Source organism: Homo sapiens, chromosome 7 (assembly GCF_000001405.40).
Source record: "Homo sapiens chromosome 7, GRCh38.p14 Primary Assembly".
NCBI classification, from domain to species: Eukaryota; Metazoa; Chordata; class Mammalia; order Primates; family Hominidae; genus Homo; species Homo sapiens.
Window position 1 is genome coordinate 146,782,855 of NC_000007.14, and position 22,031 is coordinate 146,804,885.

The 22,031-nt window shown below is 37.5% G+C and overlaps 1 protein-coding gene across 2 annotated transcripts in view, besides 2 other annotated features; it reads left to right on the forward strand.

The window, feature by feature from the left end:
• The window catches only part of CNTNAP2 (contactin associated protein 2), a 2,304,198-nt gene that overhangs the window by 666,054 nt on the left and 1,616,113 nt on the right, over positions 1 to 22,031 (forward strand). The gene's annotated exons all lie outside the window — the stretch shown is intronic.
• Positions 5,371 to 5,896: an enhancer, noted in NCBI's record as "H3K27ac-H3K4me1 hESC enhancer chr7:146485317-146485842 (GRCh37/hg19 assembly coordinates)". NCBI's record gives its function as "activates a minimal SCP1, AML or CMV promoter by ChIP-STARR-seq in naive H9 embryonic stem cells {active_cell/tissue: H9 hESC(naive)}" and the evidence as "EXISTENCE:reporter gene assay evidence [ECO:0000049][PMID:30033119]".
• Positions 8,803 to 9,097: a silencer, noted in NCBI's record as "tiled region #553; HepG2 Repressive non-DNase unmatched - State 24:Quies". NCBI's record gives its function as "represses a minimal TATA promoter and a strong SV40 promoter by Sharpr-MPRA in HepG2 cells {active_cell/tissue: HepG2}" and the evidence as "EXISTENCE:reporter gene assay evidence [ECO:0000049][PMID:27701403]".

Here is a 22,031-nt window from a genome sequence, read left to right on the forward strand (position 1 = left end):
TTTAAAACGAGGATTGAATTAAATACCTTTGTCATTACAAAGACGATGCCTCCTTAAAAATTTATTGTTTAAATTTGTGTATTTGCCAATGTATGTGTGTTTTCCCCCATTATCATCTAAGACAAAATATTATCATAATAATTTAAAAATTAGTAAAATAACATTTTTAAAACTTTCAGTATTTTTGGGGTGTTAAGACTTACAGTGACTTAAATATTCTGCAGGACTTTTCACCTCAAACTCCTTTCAATTTAAGTGAAAGAGATTATGCCAGTGATTTTTAAGTGTTGTTTTGTTCTTATTATCTTAATGTTGTTTGAATTTGATCTCTTAGAATCTATATATCTTATAGAAACTAACATGTAGTTATAAGCCTCATATAAAAAATTGTTCTGGACATTAGGGCGAATAAAAAGTATCACCTTTGTTTTCCTTAGCCCAATATATTCTATCTTTTAAATACAACTTTTCAAAGATTTCTTCTGAAGACCTCACAGATTTCATATCCACCTCCCCAAATGAATGAGAGTTTCCATCTAACTGGTATTGTGAATTTTAATGTATTCTTTTTTACTTAATTCTCAAAGATAAACCAAAATTTTGGCTTGACTGGGAGTTTTATAAAATTAAATGTGTAATACAGGAATATGTGTATCATTGACACTTGTTATAAATGATAGAATGTTGAAAGCAAACTCACCAGGCAATGACTCATACATTTTGTTTGGGCATACCTTTTTAAATTTTAAAATAGTATTGTTATTTTTCAACCATTACACTCAATTTTAAAATGTTGGTATTTCAACACCTTGTTTTTGTTTTCTTCATAGAAATCTGTGCTAGGTTTTGTTGCAATTTCCATAGAGCAATGCGTCCCAAAGTGCATGATGTTAATATGTGTGGTGAACACACGTATATACATACAAGTTTCCATAATCAAATCAGACTGGACAGATCTTGTGCTCTGGGATCTTCTTTTGGAGAATCACAGATCGTCTTTATCACAGAACATCTTTAAGGCCAGCAGAATACATTTCCACTTTGGGATTTGCTTTTATAAAATTTAGCTAAACATTGTGCGGATCACGGGCTTTCAATGGGGTTTCTTTAATGTACTTAGAAATATAGTCGTATCTCCCATGGTTTCACTACTGTGTTTCTGAAAATACTGATTATAAAAGTTCTTTGATAATAAGTCTAGTGATTTTTAGTTTAACAGAATGAACTAGACTTAATTAGAGAAAGGGGAATAAAGATAAAAGAGTTTTTCAATTTTGGACTTTTGAGATGAAGAATTTTTTAGTTAATTATTTTTAGGAAGTTACTATTTTCCCCTTTGTGTACCAAATTCTATATATCTTAATATTTGCTATTGAGAAAATCATGTACTGGCTTAACATCAATGCTATCACATTGATCCCTGCTGCCGCCTTTGAAATGGCTCTGGAATATTAATTTTCTAACACTCTCTTTAGATCACAACATTAATAGCTGACTGTCTAAAAGAGGGGGAAGTTTGCGAATAATTCATTATTATAATATGTTTGGTAATTTTAGTTTAAACACAATACTGAAAACTATCCTATTTGGTACTGGCCCTATAAAGTTTAGGACATATGGGATGGGATAACCACATCTGAATTAGCAAATCAATGTATTTAAACAAACAAACAAAAATTTAAGAAGATGTGAAGAATACATATACCTTTGTAAGATTGTTGATATGGATCTAGATTTTTCGTTACCCATAGGAGACATCTTGGGCCACTTCCTACTTGTGTTCAATTGCCAAAATTCCTCACTCACTTCTATAATGAGAAATTTTGAGTGGACACTCTCTAGGACCCTGTCGTCACTGAACGCCCGTTGTGTAGCCAAGAAAGATCATAATTCCTTGGTCTTGATCTTACTGGGCTCTTACAGATTCTTAGTGGTCTGGACCACACCTCCCTCTGTGCGTAGATATCGTTTCTATGAAATTTCTGGAGAATGGTCAGGATATCTAGGCAAAAAGCTTTATCAAATATTTACACACTGAATTTTTCTTTCTAAACCATTCAAGAATATAGGCAAAATGTGTTTACGAGAATAATCATTTAATATTCCTTTATCCCTTTGCTTTTTTTTTTTTTTTCTTTTAAGACAAGGTTTGTCACCCAGGCTAGAGTGCAGTGGCATGATCAGGGCTCGCTACAGCCTCCACATCCTTGTGCTCAGGTGATCCTCCCATCTCAGCCTCCTGAGTAGCTAAGACTATAGACTCGCACCACCATGCCCTGCTAATTTTTTTTTTAATGTTTGTACAGACAGGGTTTTGCCATGTGTGTCAGGCTGGTCTCGAACTCCTGCACTCAAGTGATCTACCCACCTTGGCCTCCCAAAGTGCTAGGATTACAGGCATGAGCCACAGAGCGCAGCCTATATGCTAACTTTATTCATAGAGAGTCTTTAGTATTTTTCACATCTCAAATAAGGAGGTGGAGAATTTTTGTGAATGATTTCTACCATCAGAAATATTCATTTTAAAAATAAAATTCTTCACAGCCTGAAAGCACTTTCATGCTGTACTTATGCAGGTTTGACTCTCAGAGAATATTTTCTAAATGTGTGAACAAGTACATAAAATATTATTTACTGCATATATTATTCTACTAATTGTAAATTTCAAATACTCATTGCTTATATGTAGGAATCATTTGTTAAATCAAGAGTTAATATTTGCTGGTACTTTTCTTGTTCCAAAAAACTATCTCACAAATTGTTTGGTCACTGTCGTAGCCAATTGGAATCTAGACTATAATAGCAGATGAGTAACAACAACCAACGCAATTATCATCATAAATAAACTAGAAATTTAAATCTCATTTTTAAAAATGAATATTCAGAGTCATTAGAGAATGGCCCTCTCATATCAACATTCTTTCAACACTTCCAATATTGTAGAACAGAGACCATGAGGATAATGTTGAGCTGATAAAGCATGCCTTTCTTATCTCAAGATATTATTTCACATACATGGCTTTCGACTTGTGCTGGCTTTTGGGTAACAGAATACATTGTATCGGTCCTTAACACTGTATCTGGCTCATAAGAAATACATTCTGTAACCCAGTAGAAGCAGTGTAGCCTACAAGAAGAAATGAAGGCCAGGAAAGAATAGGGCAAGTCCACAAGTAGCCGTTTGGGAAGCTCACATCAGCTGGTTGGTGAGTGGCATTGAACAGAGTTCATTCAATAGACAAGTTTAGGCCATAAAAAAACTGCACCTGTAAAAACTATAGTTCAAACCTGAAAATTACAATTCCTCTATACCAAATGAGTGACTGTATTTTTCAATATCTACTCTCCTGTGATTAAATTCCATGCTTTTGTGACTATTTATCCCTTTTTCTTTATTTTACTTATTAAGAGGCAGACCAAATTATTTCCAAGACAATTGGGAGGACTTAATCTAATAATGACTCTGTTAGCAACCGGCTCAGGTCATACTTATTAAAATGAACAGACCCTTCTCTTAATACCCTTAGCAAATTAGTGACTTTTTCACATTTTTTTCTTTCAGAATTAAGAAATATAGAATTGTTCTTTTATATGCATGCCTTGCAAAAGTAATTCTAAAAAAATTGTCACTAATAAGAATTCAAAGCAGTGTAGCCTTTGTTAGCTGCCTTTTCTATACACCAAGAATGAGCAATCAACATTGTTTACTCATCCTCTTGCTTTAAAACTCAGATATATGCTTGACGCGAATATTGCTGACAATAAAACATGACATTTAAGACAGTCTATTTTTATTGTTCTTGCCTCTTTAACATCAAAATGTAAACACAAAATGTAGAAAGATTTCTTCCCCAGGTTTTCACCCAAAGGTCATTTTATTTTATTTCCCTTAGCTATTATGATTTTCTTAGCAAGGTAAGGAATTCATGTTGCTTTTATTTTGCTTGGTTTTCATTCTCAGCAACTTTTGCAATGTATTTCCTTTGCATCTGTCTTCTGCTTTAAAATTGATAGACAATGGTATCTGTTTGAACTGCGGGTCCTTGTCTGCAATATGTCTGTAACCACCACCTCACCAGACATCCACAACCGGAAAGACTCTTCTGCCTCCAGGATGAATTATTTTGCATTACAAGGTTTGTGCCTGAGCATATGTATGAATAATGCATAATTAAGCGTGTTCTATAATTTTCTCTAGCCAGTGTCTGGCACATACATATTTGGATGGATAACGAATTGGGTTTTGTTTTGTTTTCAACCCTCTGCTTAGACCACCAAATAAGTCTTATAAGGATCTACTCTTAAGATGATGAAAAGTATTGTTGACTTCCTTACTCTTCCTCCCTGAGTGTTCTAGAGGGTGGAAGTTAAAATCACGTGCTTCTGAGGTGTACAGGCTTCTATGGTACTGTGTGCGGAATTGGTGGGTTTTTGGTCTCGCTGACTTCAAGAATGAAGCTACGGACCCTTGCGGTGAGGGTTACAGTTCTTAAAGAGGGTATATCCGGAGTTTGTTCCTTCAGACGTCCAGATGTGTCTGGAGTTTCTTCCTTCTGGCGGGTTCGTGGTCTCGCTGACTTCAGGAATGAAGCTGCAGACCTTTGCGGTGTTACAGCTCTTAAAGGCTGCACGTCTGGAGTTGTTCCTTCCTTCTGGTGGGTTCGTGGTCTCCCTGGCCTCAGGAGTGAAGGTGCAGACCTTCACGGTGAGTGTTACAGCTCATAAATGCCGCACGGACACAAAGAGTGAGCAGCAGCAAGATTTATTGTGAAAAGCGAAAGAACAAACCTTCCCCCGCGCATGAGGGTACCCGAGCAGGTTGTCACTGCTGGCTGGGGTGGCCTGCTTTTCTTCCCTTATCTGGCCCCACCCACATCCTGCTGATTGGTCCATTTTACAGAGAGCCGATTGGTCCGTTTTGACAGAGTGCTGATTGGTGCATTTACAGTCCTTTAGCTAGAAACAAAAGTTCTCCAAGTCCCCACCAGATTAGCTAGACATAGAGCACTGATTGGTGCATTTACAAACCTTTAGCTAGACACAGAGTGCTGATTGGTGCGTTCACAGTCCTTTAGCTAGACACAAAAGTTCTCCAAGTCCCCACCAGATTAGCTAGACACAGAGGGCTGATTGGTGCTTTTACAAACCTTTAACTAGACGGAAAAGTTCTCCAGGTCCCCACCCTACCGAGAAGCCCAGCTGGCTTCACCTCTCAATGGCACTGGCCACGGGACTTTGTGGCACCTAGCCCAGGCACTCCAGCAGCCCAGAGGGAGCTTGTCCCCCAAACAAGCCCAGCAGGCGCGGGCTGGCCACCAAGCCGGCGCCCACCTGGAACCCGTGTGGCCTGAGAGCAGAGGGAGCGGACTCTTGCCTCTGCCAGCCCCAGAGGGGGACCCCCACAGCACAGCAGCGGGCTGAAGGGCTCCTGGAGTGCGGCCAGAGTGGACGCCGAGGCCGAGGAGGCACCAAGAGCCAGGAAGGGCTGCTAGCACATTGTCATTTCTCAGTACTAGAGTCATAGGGATTGCTAGAGACTCTTCTCGTATTATGGTAAGGTCATATGTTCTCATAGGATCATATAGAATTCCCAGAGGAGGATGATTAAATTTATTCCAACAAGAGGCTAATAAAGCAGAAATGATGACTTCTTTACTGTTGAAGGGCTGGCAGTCCACAAAAACAAGTGCCAAGAAGGCCAAAATAGCAAAGGATGTTACCACTGCCCCCACCACATTTATATTCCCAAACCTTCCACACACCTACATTCACATTCAAATAGTATTAAAGTATAAGCACTTCTCATTGGTCTTCAGGTTTTTTTTTAATTAGATAGATCAGTCTTCTTAAACAGCATTAACATGTTTAAGCTTCCTGTCCTTTGGTAGTGACTTAAGTTGTCAACTTCCTTAAAAGTCATTACTGACGGCAAAGTATTTCTTTTTGGTCATTTCAAGACATCCACGTGTTTTTTTGTTTTGTTTTGTTTTGTTTTGTTTTTTCGTCTATCTCTATCTCAGAACTTATAATGAAGTATTGTATTGTAGACTTATTTTTCTGACCCCAAGAGACTGGGTGGGTGTCACCTGAAGACATGTCCTGTGTATCAAGTATCCATGAATACTTGACATACAGGATGATGCCAAGAACAGAGCTGATATTCACAAATGTAGAAATAAATGCTTGTATGTACATATTATTTTATCTGATCCTTACAAAACCCTAGGAAGAAATTCAGAAGTTACAAAACTCAGTTTGATGAATAAGAAAACTGAGATTCACCAAGTTTAGATTCTTGCCTAAGGTCACAGCTAACAGAAACTGGATCTGAGTATTTGAAATTAAGTCTTCTGACTTCAAAATAATTCACTATTCTGTCCTCCACTTGTCTTCCCTGACTTTGTGAGAACTTTTCTTTTGGAAAAATTTGAATAATATTTGAGTTGGTTATAAAGCATAACTAAAGTTTTCCCACTGGTGTTTTAGAACACAAAAAGAGACATTTCTCTTTCATTTCTGAGAAGCGTATATTGAGTAGATTTTCATTCAGAATGCCTTTGTGATTTCTTTGCATGTTTTTTAATCTGTTTTAAATAATCTGAAAGTAAAAGAAGTTATTTTAAATATTTGCATATAATGATGTATTTGTTAAAAGCATATCTTTTTTTCACTATACTAAAAGCCTAGCCAAAATTGAAATCAATTTAGTCTAATTTTTGAACTTGTATTATGTGGGGTGGCAGGCAAAAAAAAAAAAGACAAACCTGTACTCTAAATATTATATATGTGGGAACCAGTAAAGATTTGAACAGAACAATGAGACCAACATTCTCTCTACCAGAAAAGAATTTAAATAAGAAAAAACTACTGATATGCAGCACCAATACGCTAGAATCTGACAGAAGCTGTATTTTTAAAGTCACTAACACTCTTAATATTCAAAACACACCTGGGAAAAAGCAGTAAGTCAGTACAAAGTGAAAGAAAATGAATAACAGGAGTAAACCTCAACCACAAAATATAAAGTATGTGAGGCCTACTAGATATGCCGTAAGTGGATCTACATTTAGTGTGAGATGAGAACAATCTGGCATCAATAATAACAATATCCCATTGTATGATCATTATCAATCACTAAATGCTTTCTTCCCTTTCAAATAAAGGATTCAGCATTGTGACATTTTGCCTTTCATTTTGTTGTTGTTTAGTAGAATGACCATACTTCCTGGAAAACTAGAAACTCCCAAGGGAATTGATTCATTCTTTTCTCCCAAACTTCTTTCTATCAAGTATTAAATAAAGTAAAGCAAAGACTCATTTGACCAAATCTTTCAAAGTTACCATTATCTACCTTCTCTATAGATTATTTAAGACAATCATTGATGATGGAAAATAATTTTCTAAAGACTGTTTCCAAGAAGCACAAAATACTTTTGGTTTTTAATTCAAAATCCTGTATTTGAATTTCAACAATTCAAACAAGAAATTGGAAACCAAATATTGGTATTTTGTACACCAAACTGTGTTTGTTGGTTTCATTCCCAAAGAAATAGCACTAACTAGGAAGAGAAGTATGAGTTTTAGGCTTTCAAATCGTGGCCATCAGGACTTGAGAGGAAATATGCAGGTGCCCCAGTTTTAGGGATGTTTATTGGATACGTCCAAATGATGCAACTTCAGCAAAACTATCTTATCTTCGTGATTTGGTCAGTGATTTTTTTTTTTTTTTTTGTAAGACGGAGTCTCGCTCTGTCGCCCAGGCTGGAGTGCAGTGGCGCGATCTCAGCTCACTGCAAGCTCCGCCTCCCGGGTTCACGCCATTCTCCTGCCTCAGCCTCCGGAGTAGCTGGGACTACAGGCTCCCGCCACCACGCCTGGCTAATTTTTTGTATTTTTAGTAGAGGCAGGGTTTCACCGTGTTAGCCAGGATGGTCTCAATCTCCTGACCTTGTGATCCGCCCACCTCGGCCTCCCAAAGTGCTGGGATTACAGGCGTGAGCCACCACGCCTGGCCGATTTGGTCAGTGATTTCTATGCAGGGGCCTGGAGACAGGCTTTGAGTACCTCAGTCTTTTTTTTTTTTAACTTTAAGTTCTGGGGTACACGTGTGGAATGTGCAGGTTTGTTACACAGGTATACATGTGCCACGGTGGTTTGCTGCACCCATCAACCCGTTATCTACAATAGATGTTTCTCCTAATGCTATCCATCCCCCAGCCCCTACCCCCTGACAGGCCCCAGTGTGTGATGTCCCCCTCCCTGTGTCCGATGTTCCCCTCCCTGTGTCCATGTGTTCTCATTGTTCAACTCCCACTTATGGGTGACAACACGTGGTGTTTGGTTTTCTGTTCCTGCCTTAGTTTGCTGAGAATGGCGGTTTCCAGCTTCATCCATGTCCCTGCAAAGGACATGAATTCATCTTTTTTTATGGCTACATAGTATTGCATGGTGTATATGTGCCACATTTTCTTTATCCAGTCTATCAGTGATGGGCATTTGGGTTGATTCCAAGTCCTTGCTATTGTGAACAGTGCCGCAATAAACATACATGTGCATGTGTCTTTATAGTAGAATGATTTATAATCCTTTGGGTATCAGTCTTAATTTAGCATCTTGTGGTTCCAAGTGAGAAGTTTAGGTAGACAGACCCAGAGATGCCAATCAGAACTCAACATGCTCCTTGCAGCACTGGGAAAGAAAACGCAGGGTGGAGGAAGCACACAGTCAGTGGTTATGACAGAGATAAAGAATGCTGATGCTTTGTTACAGCTTCACTTTCATGTATTTGTGAGCTCTTTCTAACTTTTCCTTCCACTGATATGACATACATTTGGAAATTATCAGTTCTCCTCAGCAATTTATCAATGAAATGGCAAGGATTCACTAAGGAGTGATAAACAGGCAGGATGTTTTGTCAACAGCCTGAAATACGTTAATCAGCTTCTGGAATGCCAACAATTTAAATTCAAATAGATTTCTCACTGAGCCTGAGATCTAAAACCCTGTGATGCTGTTTCTGTTTATTGGATTAATGTAGATTTTAGGTTCCTTTGTCCTCAACTCTTGGGAATCCCCCCTACTATTTTTTTCTTTGTTTGGATGGCTTAGTTGGAATAGAAAAAAGTGTGGTTGATTTCTTCAGAAGTGTTATCTGTGTGACCTCATACTCAACTGCGGGAATAACAGAAAGGCAGAAATCGGGAAATAAAAATCCTGTTGCCGAATGAGAATTCTACATCTCACTGCCGTTTGGAATGGTACAGTGATTCATATTTCAGGCACCTCAATTAGACATTCATTATTCATAAACACTTATGTAACTCTGAGTTATTCAGGCTGGGAGAGAACATTGCAATCTTTCTTTTTCCTTTTCTTTATTATATGACATCTTATATCAAAAAAAAAGAAAAAGCTAAAAAAAAAACACTCTGCTACATGTAAATCTGAACTATTTATTTTAGGCAAAATGGCATGAATAAAACAAAGCTGATCTACATTTGGCTTTGTCTTGTCAAAGAAGCAATCTGAACAAATAGGCTAAGATCAATTCTATTAGAGGTGAAATACGGACCAAGATACCAACATTGATCCCTTCAGCCATGGCCCTTGCATATAGTTCCAATGTACAATAATACAGGTCAGGACCTGGAAAGGCCTAAATGATAAGACTAAGTGTCAAAATCAGTGTTGAAAGGCTGCTCAAACTACAGAAAATGAGGTATCCAGGCATTTAATAAGCATGCATTGAGCTAAGCACATACCACCACTAAAGATTCATTTGCATGTGGGATTAAAACATCTGAAAAGTTGACAAGGGAACGTTTTAGAGACTCTGAGATGGTGACATCATTATGACACAAGGCACTGTTGGTCTGAAGCACACTGGTGAGTGTCCCCAACCATAAATTTGGAGATAGTTCAGGTGGCATCTGAGTATTAATCAAAAGAAAATAGATACTTGTCTTACTCGATGAAAATAATAATTATTTTTTTTGAAGGGGCATCAATAATTTAACAAATATTTGTGGTTTACTTTGTGTTCAGAACATGTTGTAGTCTATGTCAGCACTGTCTGGTAAAATACATGGTGAGCCATATATGTAATTTTCAATTATCTAATACCTGCATGGAAAAAAACTAAAAAGAAACAGGTGAAATACATTTTATATGTTTTAGTTAAACTAAAATATTGAAATATTGTCATTTTGTTATGTAATCAATATAAAAATTATCAATTTGCTACTTTACATTTTTCATACTAAATTTTTAAAATCTGGTGTGTATGTTACACTTATCTTGATTCAGAAACTAAATTTCCATCAGAAATACTTCATCTATATTTAAATTTCACAACATTTATGGTTTAAACACTGGACTCACATAGCCAAATTGCTCCCAAAATATCTAAAATGTTCTCCTATAAATGAATTATCAGTTTTAAAATATACATTTAAATTATTTAAAATAAAATAGCAAATTTAGATCTGCAGTCTCTCAGGCATGTGTTAGTCCTTCTAGCAACATGCCAAGTCTGAGTAGCCACAGGTATTGACACCTGCACCTGTGGGAATGGTGACCCTGGGGATGTGCAGGGTGTAATCATATGCAGTGGCATTAATCTTTGGGGAGAGTCAGAATTCATTTATAGCCTGGTGGTGGCTAAGAGATGGCAGAATTATAATAACTGAGGAGGCTAAGTACTTAACATCAATTTGCAGGGCAGTCTCATTTTATCAGGAAAAGCAAGAATGGCAGAGGCAAGAATGCGATAGCTGTTCCTTGACATTGGAAAACCTTCAGCAAAACCCAGGGTTTGGGGGTTCCCCCTGGGTGTCTGAAATGTAGCATTCAGCACTAGCTCCAGCCTTTGGGCAGCTGTGGGGGCCAGAGACCAAGTGTGGTCCCTGGCCCAGGGTGGGATTAGACAGCATAAGTGGTGTCAAGAAGTATATGTTAGAGTTAATGAAGAGTAGGCAGTATGTGGATCACAACTCTAGGGACCATCAAATAAAACTTCTTTCAGTTAAGGCATTTTGTTTACTGTTAAAGAAGACAGGACTCTAGGATGTGTCTTACTTTTCCAGAACATGTTACAAACTGATGTTTCTTGAGATTATGTTGGGGTATGCTCAGCCAGTCTCTCTCACCGGGTTCTAGAGACAGCTGCTGCTGATTTTGAGGGTAAAAATCTAGTATTCATTGATCTGAACAGCTGAAAGCAAATCCCTTTTGATGCAATCAGATTGACTCAAAGCATTAGACATTTTCTCTCTGTGCAGACTAGGCTAAATGCCCTTGGATAGTCTGTTTCATGGGCTTAGCCTTAGCAATATGGACCTGGATTAATTACTCTGGCATTGTGTAAACTCTGTAACTATGTAGAAATAGTATTATCTCCTATCATATCTCTATGTCTGAACATTATATGCAACCTTCTGTTTATTATCACAGTAAAAAAGTCTGTCCAAATCATTGTATATGCATAATTTCTATTATGTTTAGAGGGATTGATGATTAGAAGTTGATAGGAAGACATTATTTAATAATTACAAGAGAATGCATTCTTTAACAAGGATAATATACCTCATTAAAAATAAAAATCATTGAATTATTTCTCTACTGAAACATATCAGTGTCAGAAATAACATGACCCTAAAGGATATCAGTTGTGAATAAAAGCCCCAAAGTGGGGATTAAAGTATTAATAGTCATGGGGGTAGGTATGATTTTGCAGAGGTAGAAACTGAAATACAGATAAATAACTTTCCCATGGTGTCTGTTGTATGTAGTGAAGCCAGGATTAAAAAACTAAGGCCTATCTAACTGTGTTTTTTCATAATGAGGTACTAACTATGATACGAATGCTCCAAAGCTGTCAAACCACGAGAGGAATAATGTATTATACCGATTATTCATTCAGAAAAACAATACAAGTACTTCAAAGTAGCAAGAATCTACTCTAAACACCATTTTCACAGGTATAAAGCAAAAATAGGATTTGATCTTTGAAAATATCTATTTTAAAGAATTTAGTATATTGTGCTTTTATATCAATTATGTACTGCCTTAAACATTCATCAAGTTCTGCTCTAAAATGCAGCATCTCTGAATATGACCTGCAGCTTCATATGCTATAGACAGAGTAGTCAGAGAAAGTAGAAAGCAGGGGCACCCATTGCCTTTGAAGAGTTTTCAGTGAAAAATTTAAAGAAAAAACGCTAATCACAGACATAATGTAAGTATATGAATATAACTATTTTCCCCTAAATCTGAACATAGATAATGCAACATAAATCTCATGATAAAGAGCAATCTCTACCTTATATAGCTTAGTGGAGAATTAGAATATAATTAGTAAATGTTGAAAATAAAGATCAACTATGTTGATGGTATTTTAAACCATTCAGTTCTGTATATCGACATTTTGCCAACACTATGCTAATTCTATGGCTCTCTTTTTGGCCCTGAGTTTACTTAGTATTCTCCACAGTATACTCTGACCTCGCAAATCAACATTCATGGTACAAAACATTAAAAGTACAGAATATATTATTGTTAAGAAGAGGATTCACATGTAAAGATGACAATGAAAGTGTTCCTGGGGAAAACTAGCAAGGGAGTGGAAAGTGGGATGGAGAAGTAAAGTCAGTGTGCCAAATGTCATGGAATGTAACCTTGGCTCAGATCCCACAGGGAAGCTCTTGAGATAAGTCACATGTCACAGCTGTCTGAAGCAGGGGCTAGAAGCTGGAGACTTTATATGCCTACATCTATCAGACGTTGGTTACTTTTCCCAATTTCCCAACTACCCTTATGTTCAGGCAAGATGGGTTCTGGCAGCCTGAGGGTTGTCCGCAGACAAAATCTTATGGATTCTAGCTATTATTTGATAAAATTGACATGTTCACACCTTATGCCCCAGCAATTTCAATGATAGGAAGACATCCCAGAAAAATGCCTGCTCATGTTTATGGGAAGATGTGTATTAAAAATATGCAGAGAAGCAGTGTGTATTGTATAATAACCCGAAAATGAAAACAACTTAAATGTCCATAAACATCATCACTGTTCAAAGCATATGCTACATTTTATATAAAGAAATACAATTTGAAATTCAAAGGGAATACACTTCAAGTAAATACACATGAAAGAAAAATCATAATGTTGATTAAAATAAGTCATAGAAGAATACATACAATGTCATTTCACTTACATAAAATCCAAAAACAGGTTAACAGTATATACTTTAGGAATATATGCATATATGATAAAACCAGAAAGAAACAGAAAGGCATGCTTTATTGAAAGTGAAGGCTATCGGTTACTTCTAAGTTGCAGGGAGGGAGATGGTGTCACAGGACCACCAGATTTGTATGCTTGCTGTGCAGTAACAGACAAACACACTGAGACAGCAGGGTTTGCAACAGAGAAAGACTTTAATGATTATAGGGCAGCTAAGCAAGGACATGAGAACGACCGTCACATCCATCTCCCTGAGGAGTTCTGGGCTGGAGTTTTTAAGGGGATTGTGGAGGGTGAGCGGCTGTAAAATTGGGGTTTTGATTGGTTAGGGTAAGAGTGATGAAATCATCTTGATGCGGAAACTGAATTTTTTGTCAGCTTCTCCTGGGGTACTTTGGACCAGCTGGTGTCAGTAATTCCACCCATATGTAGGAGCTATTGTAGATCAAGATATGAAGATAAAGAAGATCTAGCTTCTGAAACGCAGTTCTATAATTAAAGAAGTGATATAACGGTATAGGGACTTAGAGGGCCGACTATGACTTCCTAGGTTAGAAACATAGCTTGGCCACTTAAAAACTGAATAACCTCAGTAGAACCTCATTGATTTCACTGAAAATCAACTTCCTTATCTATACCATGGAGGTAATAATGCTGACTACCTTATTCACTTTGTGGGGATTACATAAGTTAATACATGTAATGCATTTCAAGCAGAGCTCAGAGGCAAGTGAAGCACTCATTAAGAAAACATTCTTGGCCGGGCGCGGTGGCTCACACCTGTAATCTCAGCACTTTGGGAAGCTGAGGCAGGCAGATCACGAGGTCAGGAGATCGAGACCATTCTGTCTAAGACCGTGAAACCCTGTCTCTACTAAAAATACAAAAACTTAGCCAGGCATGGTGGCGGGCGCCTGTAGTCCCAGCTACTCTGGTGGCTGAGGCAGGAGAATGGTGTGAACCCGGGAGGTGGAGCTTGCAGTGAGCCAAGATCGCGCTACTGCACTCCAGCCTGGGCAACAGAGCGAGACTCCATCTAGAAAAAAAAATTCTTTTTAATTATACATGATTTTGATTGCACTGAAAAAGGGTGGGCCAGTTGCACCTGTAAGAAAAATCTTATTAGTTTTCTGTTGGGACTACTGAGGGACACAGGATGGAAAAGCACTCTGAACAGACAAATTGGCATGTGTGCAAAGCATTGAATTACAAAATAACAAGGGAAAAGGTGTTCAAGGGAAAGTGATGGAGAAGATTGTATGGGAGGTGGCAGGAGACACCTTGATATCATGTGGGGCTGTCTGATAAATTTGCATTTTGTCTTAGAGCTATCTGTAATTCTTAGGAGATTTTAAACATGGAAATAGCATACAGACTATTTCACTAATAACCAAGTATGCCTTGTGGAGGATGAACTGAATTAGGACAAAGTTGTTAGCAAAAGACCACTAATAGCTGTTTCAAGTGAAAAATGTTGATGGATTTAAGTAAAGCAGGGTAGAAGAAAAAGAAAGCAGATTAAACAGATATTTCTGTAGAATTAACTATACTCCATAACTGACTGACTTCAGAGATAGAAAGATGCTAAATTATGCTGCAGAACAAGCTACCACCAAAATCTCACTGATTTACAAAAAGGAAGGTTTAGTTCTCACTAAGATACGTCCTGGCAGCTGCAGCATTCAAAATGTATTTGTTTGTTCATTACCATTTATCATCTCTTTCTCTGTCACTGTTGACAAGATAGAGATACAAAGTTGTTCAAAAATATTTCAGGTGTAACTATGTATACATTTGTTACATGAATTATCACAACCTTAAATCTTTTATTTCTATTGTCTTAACCATTTTTGCCACACAGAAGCTATTCATATGACAATTAAGTTGATATTTTTGGCCGAGTGTGGTGGCTTACAGCTGTAATCCCAGCACTTTGGGAGGCTGAGGTGGGAGGATCACTTGAGCCTAGGAGTTTGAGACCAGCTGGGACAACATGGCAAAAACTGTCTCTCTAAAAATACAAAAGTTAGCCAGGTATCCTAGCACACGCCTGCGGTCCCAGTTACTCAGGAGGCAGAGGCACAAGGATCACTTGAGCCGGGGATGGGGAGGCAGAGGCTGCAGTGAGTGGTGATCGTGCCACTGCATTCCAGCCTAGGTGATAGAGCCAGACCCTGTCTCCAAAAAAAAAAAAAGACTTTTTTTGTGGCAGTGTCTCAAACAGACACAATCTGACATAATTTAGCATGTTTTCTTTATTTTTGACACAGGGTCTGGCTCTGTTGCCCAAGCTGGAGTGCAGTGGTGTGATCTTGGCTCACTATAGCCTCTGCCTTCTTGGCTCAAACAATCCTCATGCCTCAGCCTCCTGGGTAGCTGGGATTACAGGTGTGCACCATCAGTACCTAGCTATATTTTTTGGTACTTTTAGTAGAGATGGGGTTTTGCCATGTTGCCCAGAATGGTTTTGAACTCCTGGGCTCAAGCAATCCTCCTCCCTCAGCCTCCAAAATGTTGTGATTCCAGGCATGAGCCACTGTGCCTGGCCCATAATTTAGCACTTCTATCAAATGCAATTATGACATGAAATATTTCTGGTTAACAACTGACAATGTAACTAATACAATAAGTTTTATTTACATTTTATGGGCAGATTTTTTTTGGTGCATTCTGTAGTCATGAACAAATTAAATGGTCATTATCCTCATGGAGATTCTAGCAAAAAGCAAATTATAATTACCCACATTTTCATACCCAGCTAAGAGTCCTAGAAAGCCTCCAACCTGTTCTAGCCATTTTCTCATATTTGTACAGCTGCAAAAAAAATATTTTTGAGTACATTATGTGAGCTAAATTGTATTTCAGGTGGTAGAGACTATAGATAAATATCCTCTTTCATACAAACTAATCCTTTCATTTTGATGCATTATTTTTGAGGTTCATATGAACCACAACCACATCACTTGAATTGATGTATTGGAAATGTGATAAACATTGTGTCCAGACTGTATTTGCTATTTATTAGAACTTACCTCTCCTTGTATGAAATTAAGTATTTGTTTTAGATCAATTTCTTTGAGTTGCTTTCTTTTTTCTTTTTTAAGTGAAATAGAAAATGAAGTCTGTAGAATCTGGGGACCTTCCCTTGACTAAAAATGAGTTTCCATAGTATTACCATAAAATCTATGGTAACCCATTTCATACTGAAAGATTCTTGATTGCTTACCTGTTGATGTCATTCCCTAGGTGACGTCTCCTTAAAGACATTATTGTATCCCATTTTTATTTGTATACACAGCATCTAACATCATGTCCAGCATAGAATATGTGTCTAATAAATGTTGGTTGGTTGAAAGATAATTTTCATCTGCAGTTTCTTTATGCACATTCGAGTTTAGTATCTTCTGAATTATTGTTTTGTTTTATATATGACTTACATGCACATTAAAGTAAGAAATTTTCCAAAGAGCTTGAGTAGCGCTAAGATTGGTCATTTTCAAGCATATCAAAAGACAATGAGTGAAAATACTGTAGCTATACTTTATTACTCTGCAAGCGTATGACTAAATGCAGCTGACTCCTCCACACAAAATTACCATAGTGGTTAAGAGTGAGATTTTAGCCTAATACCTAAGTCTGAACCTTTCTCTGCTGCTAACTCATTGTGTGATTTTTGTGCAAATTACCTACATTTCTGGACCTCTATCTCTTCACTTTTAAAATGGGGATCACTTTGATAATTGCACCTATCTCACAGAGACATTTTCAAGATCGAAGGAGTTTAATAGTGTATAAAATTTAGTAAAATTCCTGGTACATCATAATTGCTATGAAAGATTGGTTATGGGACTCAACAAAATCTGTTAAATAAAAAAAGTATGAAAATATGAAAATATATAATAACATAGTAACATACTACAATTATGAATATGGACTCAGTTCTAATTCTGAATAGTAGGGAATGCATTTGGAATTATTAGTAACTAATATGATATATTCTTTTGTAATAACTATATTTTTCCATGCTTAGGTACTGATCACTCAGGATTCTAGTTGTGAATGATAGCAGCAACACTAGCTATTCAAACAGAAAGAGATTTATTAAAGGGACTTTTTTACTGAAGTTTCTAGACAGCTACAATCAGATTTGAAATGCCACCACCAAGAACAACACCTACATCTCCCCAGAGCTCCTCAGTGAAGCCAGCACTGCTATACCCACTGCTGTAGATGCCTGATGATTCTGGCACTGCGTGCCAAGCTGCCCGGGGTGGCCTGGGAAGACCAGCTGGCTCTGACCCTAGCCTTGTCAGAAAATCAGTTTGGCACAGAAATTGCTTTATCTCTCTAGAACCAAAGTCTTGTGTTTTTCTTTCTGTTGGGCATTTAAGTCAAATACCTCTACTCTAGCTGCAAGGGAAGCTGAGAAAATGAACTTCTGAAATTCCCCAAAATATGCAGGTTGTTCAAAGCTGCTCCCTGGCCACCAAGGTGTCCTCAGGCACAGAGACATTAACTAGAAGAGGATTCCTTGAGCGCCACAAATAAGAACTTATGGGGCCTTATTTAGTTGACAGGGGTGAACAGTACCTGGAATATCAGTTGTAAATGTAAGGAGAATTCTCACATAGAGTTTAAATTGCTTAACTATATTCAATTATTTCAAAAACATGAAACGAATTATACTAGATATAATCTCCCATAGGATTTACTGAGGAATACAGAGAAGAGTAAAACACCCTGCTCTGATTCTTACAGTGAGCAAAGAAGGTGTCAGGAGTAGAGAATTTTTTCCCACATGCAATGTGGGAAAAGTATAAAGTACCCTACAGATGCATTGAAGGAAACTCCTCTCTTTAGGAAGAATAAGGAGAGTCTGAATTGATTTGCTGGTTAAGTGTATTGGTCTGTTTTGCATTGTTATAAAGAAATACCTGAGGCTGGGTAATTTATAAAGAAAAGAGATTTATCTATACAAGCATGGCACCAGCATCTTCTCAGCTTCTGGTGGAGCCTTAGGAAGTCTTTACCCTTCATGGAGGATGAAGGGGTGCAGGTACATCACATGATGACAGAAGGAGCAGGAAAAAGGAGGAAGTTTCAGGCTCTTTTAAACAACTAGCTCTGACATGAACTAATAGAGTGAGAACTCACTCAGTACCAAGAGGACAGCACCAAGCCATTCATGAGGGATCCACCCCCATGATCCAAACATCTCTCACTAGACGTCTGAGACCATCTCCAACATTTGTGGCCACATTTCCAGATGAGATTTGCAGGGGTCACACATCCAAACCATATCATTGACCAAACATTTATTGAATTTCATATTACCAATGAAGGTACAAATTAAGTAATATATGTTCCATGGAATTATTAAACTTTCTCCACATGTTGAAAGATTTATTCAGGCATAAAAAGTTTCTATTTCCAAGAAAGGTACGTAAGTGGAAATATATAGAGAATTTTCAGGGAAAAATATGCTTTTTAATTTGACTAAAAAGTTGGTTAGATCCAGAAATATGGTGGGTTCTTTGTGAATGCCATAATAAAGAACTGAGGCATGACACTCATTTTATTATTTTTAATTGTTTTTCCAGAGAAGAGGCTGACATGGTTAAAGTGTGTTGTTAGGAGATTTCCATTGTCAATGTGGTACAGATCAAATAAAAGTGAGAAAGCTCTTTTATTATACCAAATAGCAGATACGGTGAATTTTAAATGCTTCATGGTAAAGAGAATAGAGTGGAAAGTGAGATGCAGATGACATAGATTCTATGGTTCTAGAATAAAATTATTAATTTTAATGAATGTGTGGAGCAAGACAGATATGAATCTCAGTGACCATGCTGGAAGGACTGTGGTGTTATTTACATCTATAGAAACATGATGGAAAACACATTCTGGAATTTAGAAAAAAATTTAGATAGAATTGTTGTGTTGAATGAATTATATTTGTTTTCTGTTGCTGGATAAAAAATTACCATAAATTCAGCAGCTTAAAACAACACCCACTTATCAACTCACAGTTCTATAGGTCAGAAGTCCATGTGGACCGGACTGCATTCTCTGATATGGGTATCATGAGGTGGAAGTGGATGTGTTGGCCGGACTAAGGTACTTGGAAGCTCTGGAAACAGTCTCCTTTTAGCGCATTCAGATTGTTGACAGATCAGTTTCTTGCAGCTGTAGAAATGAGGTCTCAGTTTTCTTCAGCAATGGAAAACCCCCCTTACATCAAATCCCTGTCTTGATTTCAGTCTTTCTGATTTCTGCTTTTGCTGGCAGTTTAGAAAATCACTGCTTATTTTATTAGATTAGGGATATGATTTGGCTATGTGTTCGCACCCAAATCTCATGTTAAATTGTAATTCCCAACGTTGGGGGAGGGACCTGGTAGGAGATGATCATGGGGGGCAAGATTTCCACCTTGCTGCTTTTACGATAGTGAGTGAGTTCTCAGGAGATCAGGTTGTTTAGAAGTGTGTAGCACATCCTTCTTTGTTTCCTGTCTCCTGCTCCACCATGGTAAAACACGCATGCCTCACCTTCACCATCCGCCATGATTGTAAGTTTCCTGAGGCCTCCCAGCCCTGGTTCCTGTATAGCCTGGGGAACTGTGAGTCAATTAAACCTCTTTTCTTCATAAATTACCCAGTCATAGGTAGTTTGTTTACAGGAGATTGAGAACAGACTAATATAAATAGGCTCTTCAGAATACTTTCTCTATCATAAGGTCAATTGATTACTAGACTTAGACAAATAGTGTGCAGCTGGAAGTGCTCTCTGGAACTTGGAAGAGGATTGAAGTAAGAGATATACTCTGAAGAGTGAATTATTCCAGTAGTGCTATGAAGAGAAGTGACTGACATAATCAATGAAGATTATATTGAGAAGCAAAAGTGAAAAATCTGAGATCTTGCAGGTAAAAAATAAATAAATAAATAAGTCTTAGTGAAAAGATCTCAATTTCATTTATGGGAGTAAATGCCAGGAATTGAGAGCGGGAGGTAAAATATGTATTGTTAGACTTGAGGAGGTCATGATTCTTGAAGTGGAATGAACGTGCACGTCTAAAACACCTAAAAGTAACGGGAAAATAAAAGAAATGAAGAAAGAAAAGAATAACTTCCCAGATATCTAGCAAAAGGGAAGCAATAGAATACACCAGCTGAGGGACTTGTAAGGAACACATCATCTGAGGAAACGTTCATTGCAGTAAAATGAGAAGATGGAATGTGAATAAGATAAAAATGCAAATTATGTAGAAAGCATAGTTGCAAGAACACAGGGTGGACTAGAGACAAAAAGGGCTTAGGAGGTAAAGAACAATCCCCTAGTGCACATAATCTCTTGTTTTCATCTCTTTGCCTTGGATCACGGGCCAATCATGACAGCAATGGTGCATTTTCATCTTTGAATCCATGACACATTGTTGGCCCTCAATAAATTTGCATTAAACAAATGAAAAGCAGGTAACCAGAAGCGATCTGTGCCTACAAGAGGAGCTGTGTGTGCCAGGAATTAGTCTAGCAGGAGCTTGGTAGATTATACTTCCTGGAAATATAGATGCATATAATTTTAAAGATATAATCATGAAATATTAAAAGAATTGTAAAAGTGGCAGTGAATTATTTAGAAACAGTGTCCCTGCATGCATGATACAATATTCAGATGTGTGTTAAAATGTATGCTCCAAGGAAAGTCTTGGTATAGTTTTATGTGCGCTGCATATTTTCAAATAATGCTGGAAAGCAGTTTAAAGCTTTTGAATTTCTTCATCCCGTTTTCCTGTCTCCTTGTAGAGCTCCCTTTGATTTCAAAGGTGCTTCATTGCTAGAATGAGAAATAGGTGGTAGGAAAGTTTAATTCTTTGAGGCTAAAGTTTGAAACAGTTTTTCATTTACAGATAAAAATTCTACCTTTGGACTTCAGCATTGTTCAGTTTTCCCCGAGATAAATCCGTAGAAGTAGCCTACACCTGCCTACACCTTGTGACTACATCTTCAGATTATATATATGCAGGCACAGTTTTAGAAATGGGCTGGCAAAGGAAGCAAGAGGGAACAGAAGATAAGATGCTCCCCTCCTCTGTAAAAGAGATACTGTAATCATATGATTGTGTTTTTAGCCACCGAAAGCAAAAACCGACTGATATTACCTTTAGATGCTAATGATTTATTTGATAGAAATACATTTTTGCTTTAAGCTTATTGATCATGCTCATTTATAAATGTAAATTTATTCTGTCATCAGGATTCCAAATCATTTAAAACCTACAAATATTTATTGAATGTTTCTTGCTAAACTCTGTGGTTGGTTTTGGGAGGATGTGTAAAATCCAACACTTGATCTCCAGGGATTTTCATCACCTAGGAAGGAGAGATAAATACATTTTCTTTTTGAATGGAAAACTAACATAGCAAAAGAAACAAAAATGCTATAAATATTCAAAGTATGAGATGTTAGTCCTATCACATCCTTTGTTGTATGAGGATAAATATAAGTAAATATAAAAACACTTATATACATGGCAGATATCACTTGGTATTAATTCTCCTTCAGCTCTTGGAAAAATAAATCTTATTGAAGAGCCCTATAAACACCACTTCTCACTACACTTACTGCATAATTTTAGAAAGAGGTTTAATTAACATGAAATAGCTACACTCAACTGGTCTAAAGCAGCTGTGTAGCGTGAAAGTCACACAAAGCCCCAGTCTCAATGATGTATTCCTCTTCCCACCTCAATCATCATAATCCACTTTCTGTGGTACTCCAGTAAGTTC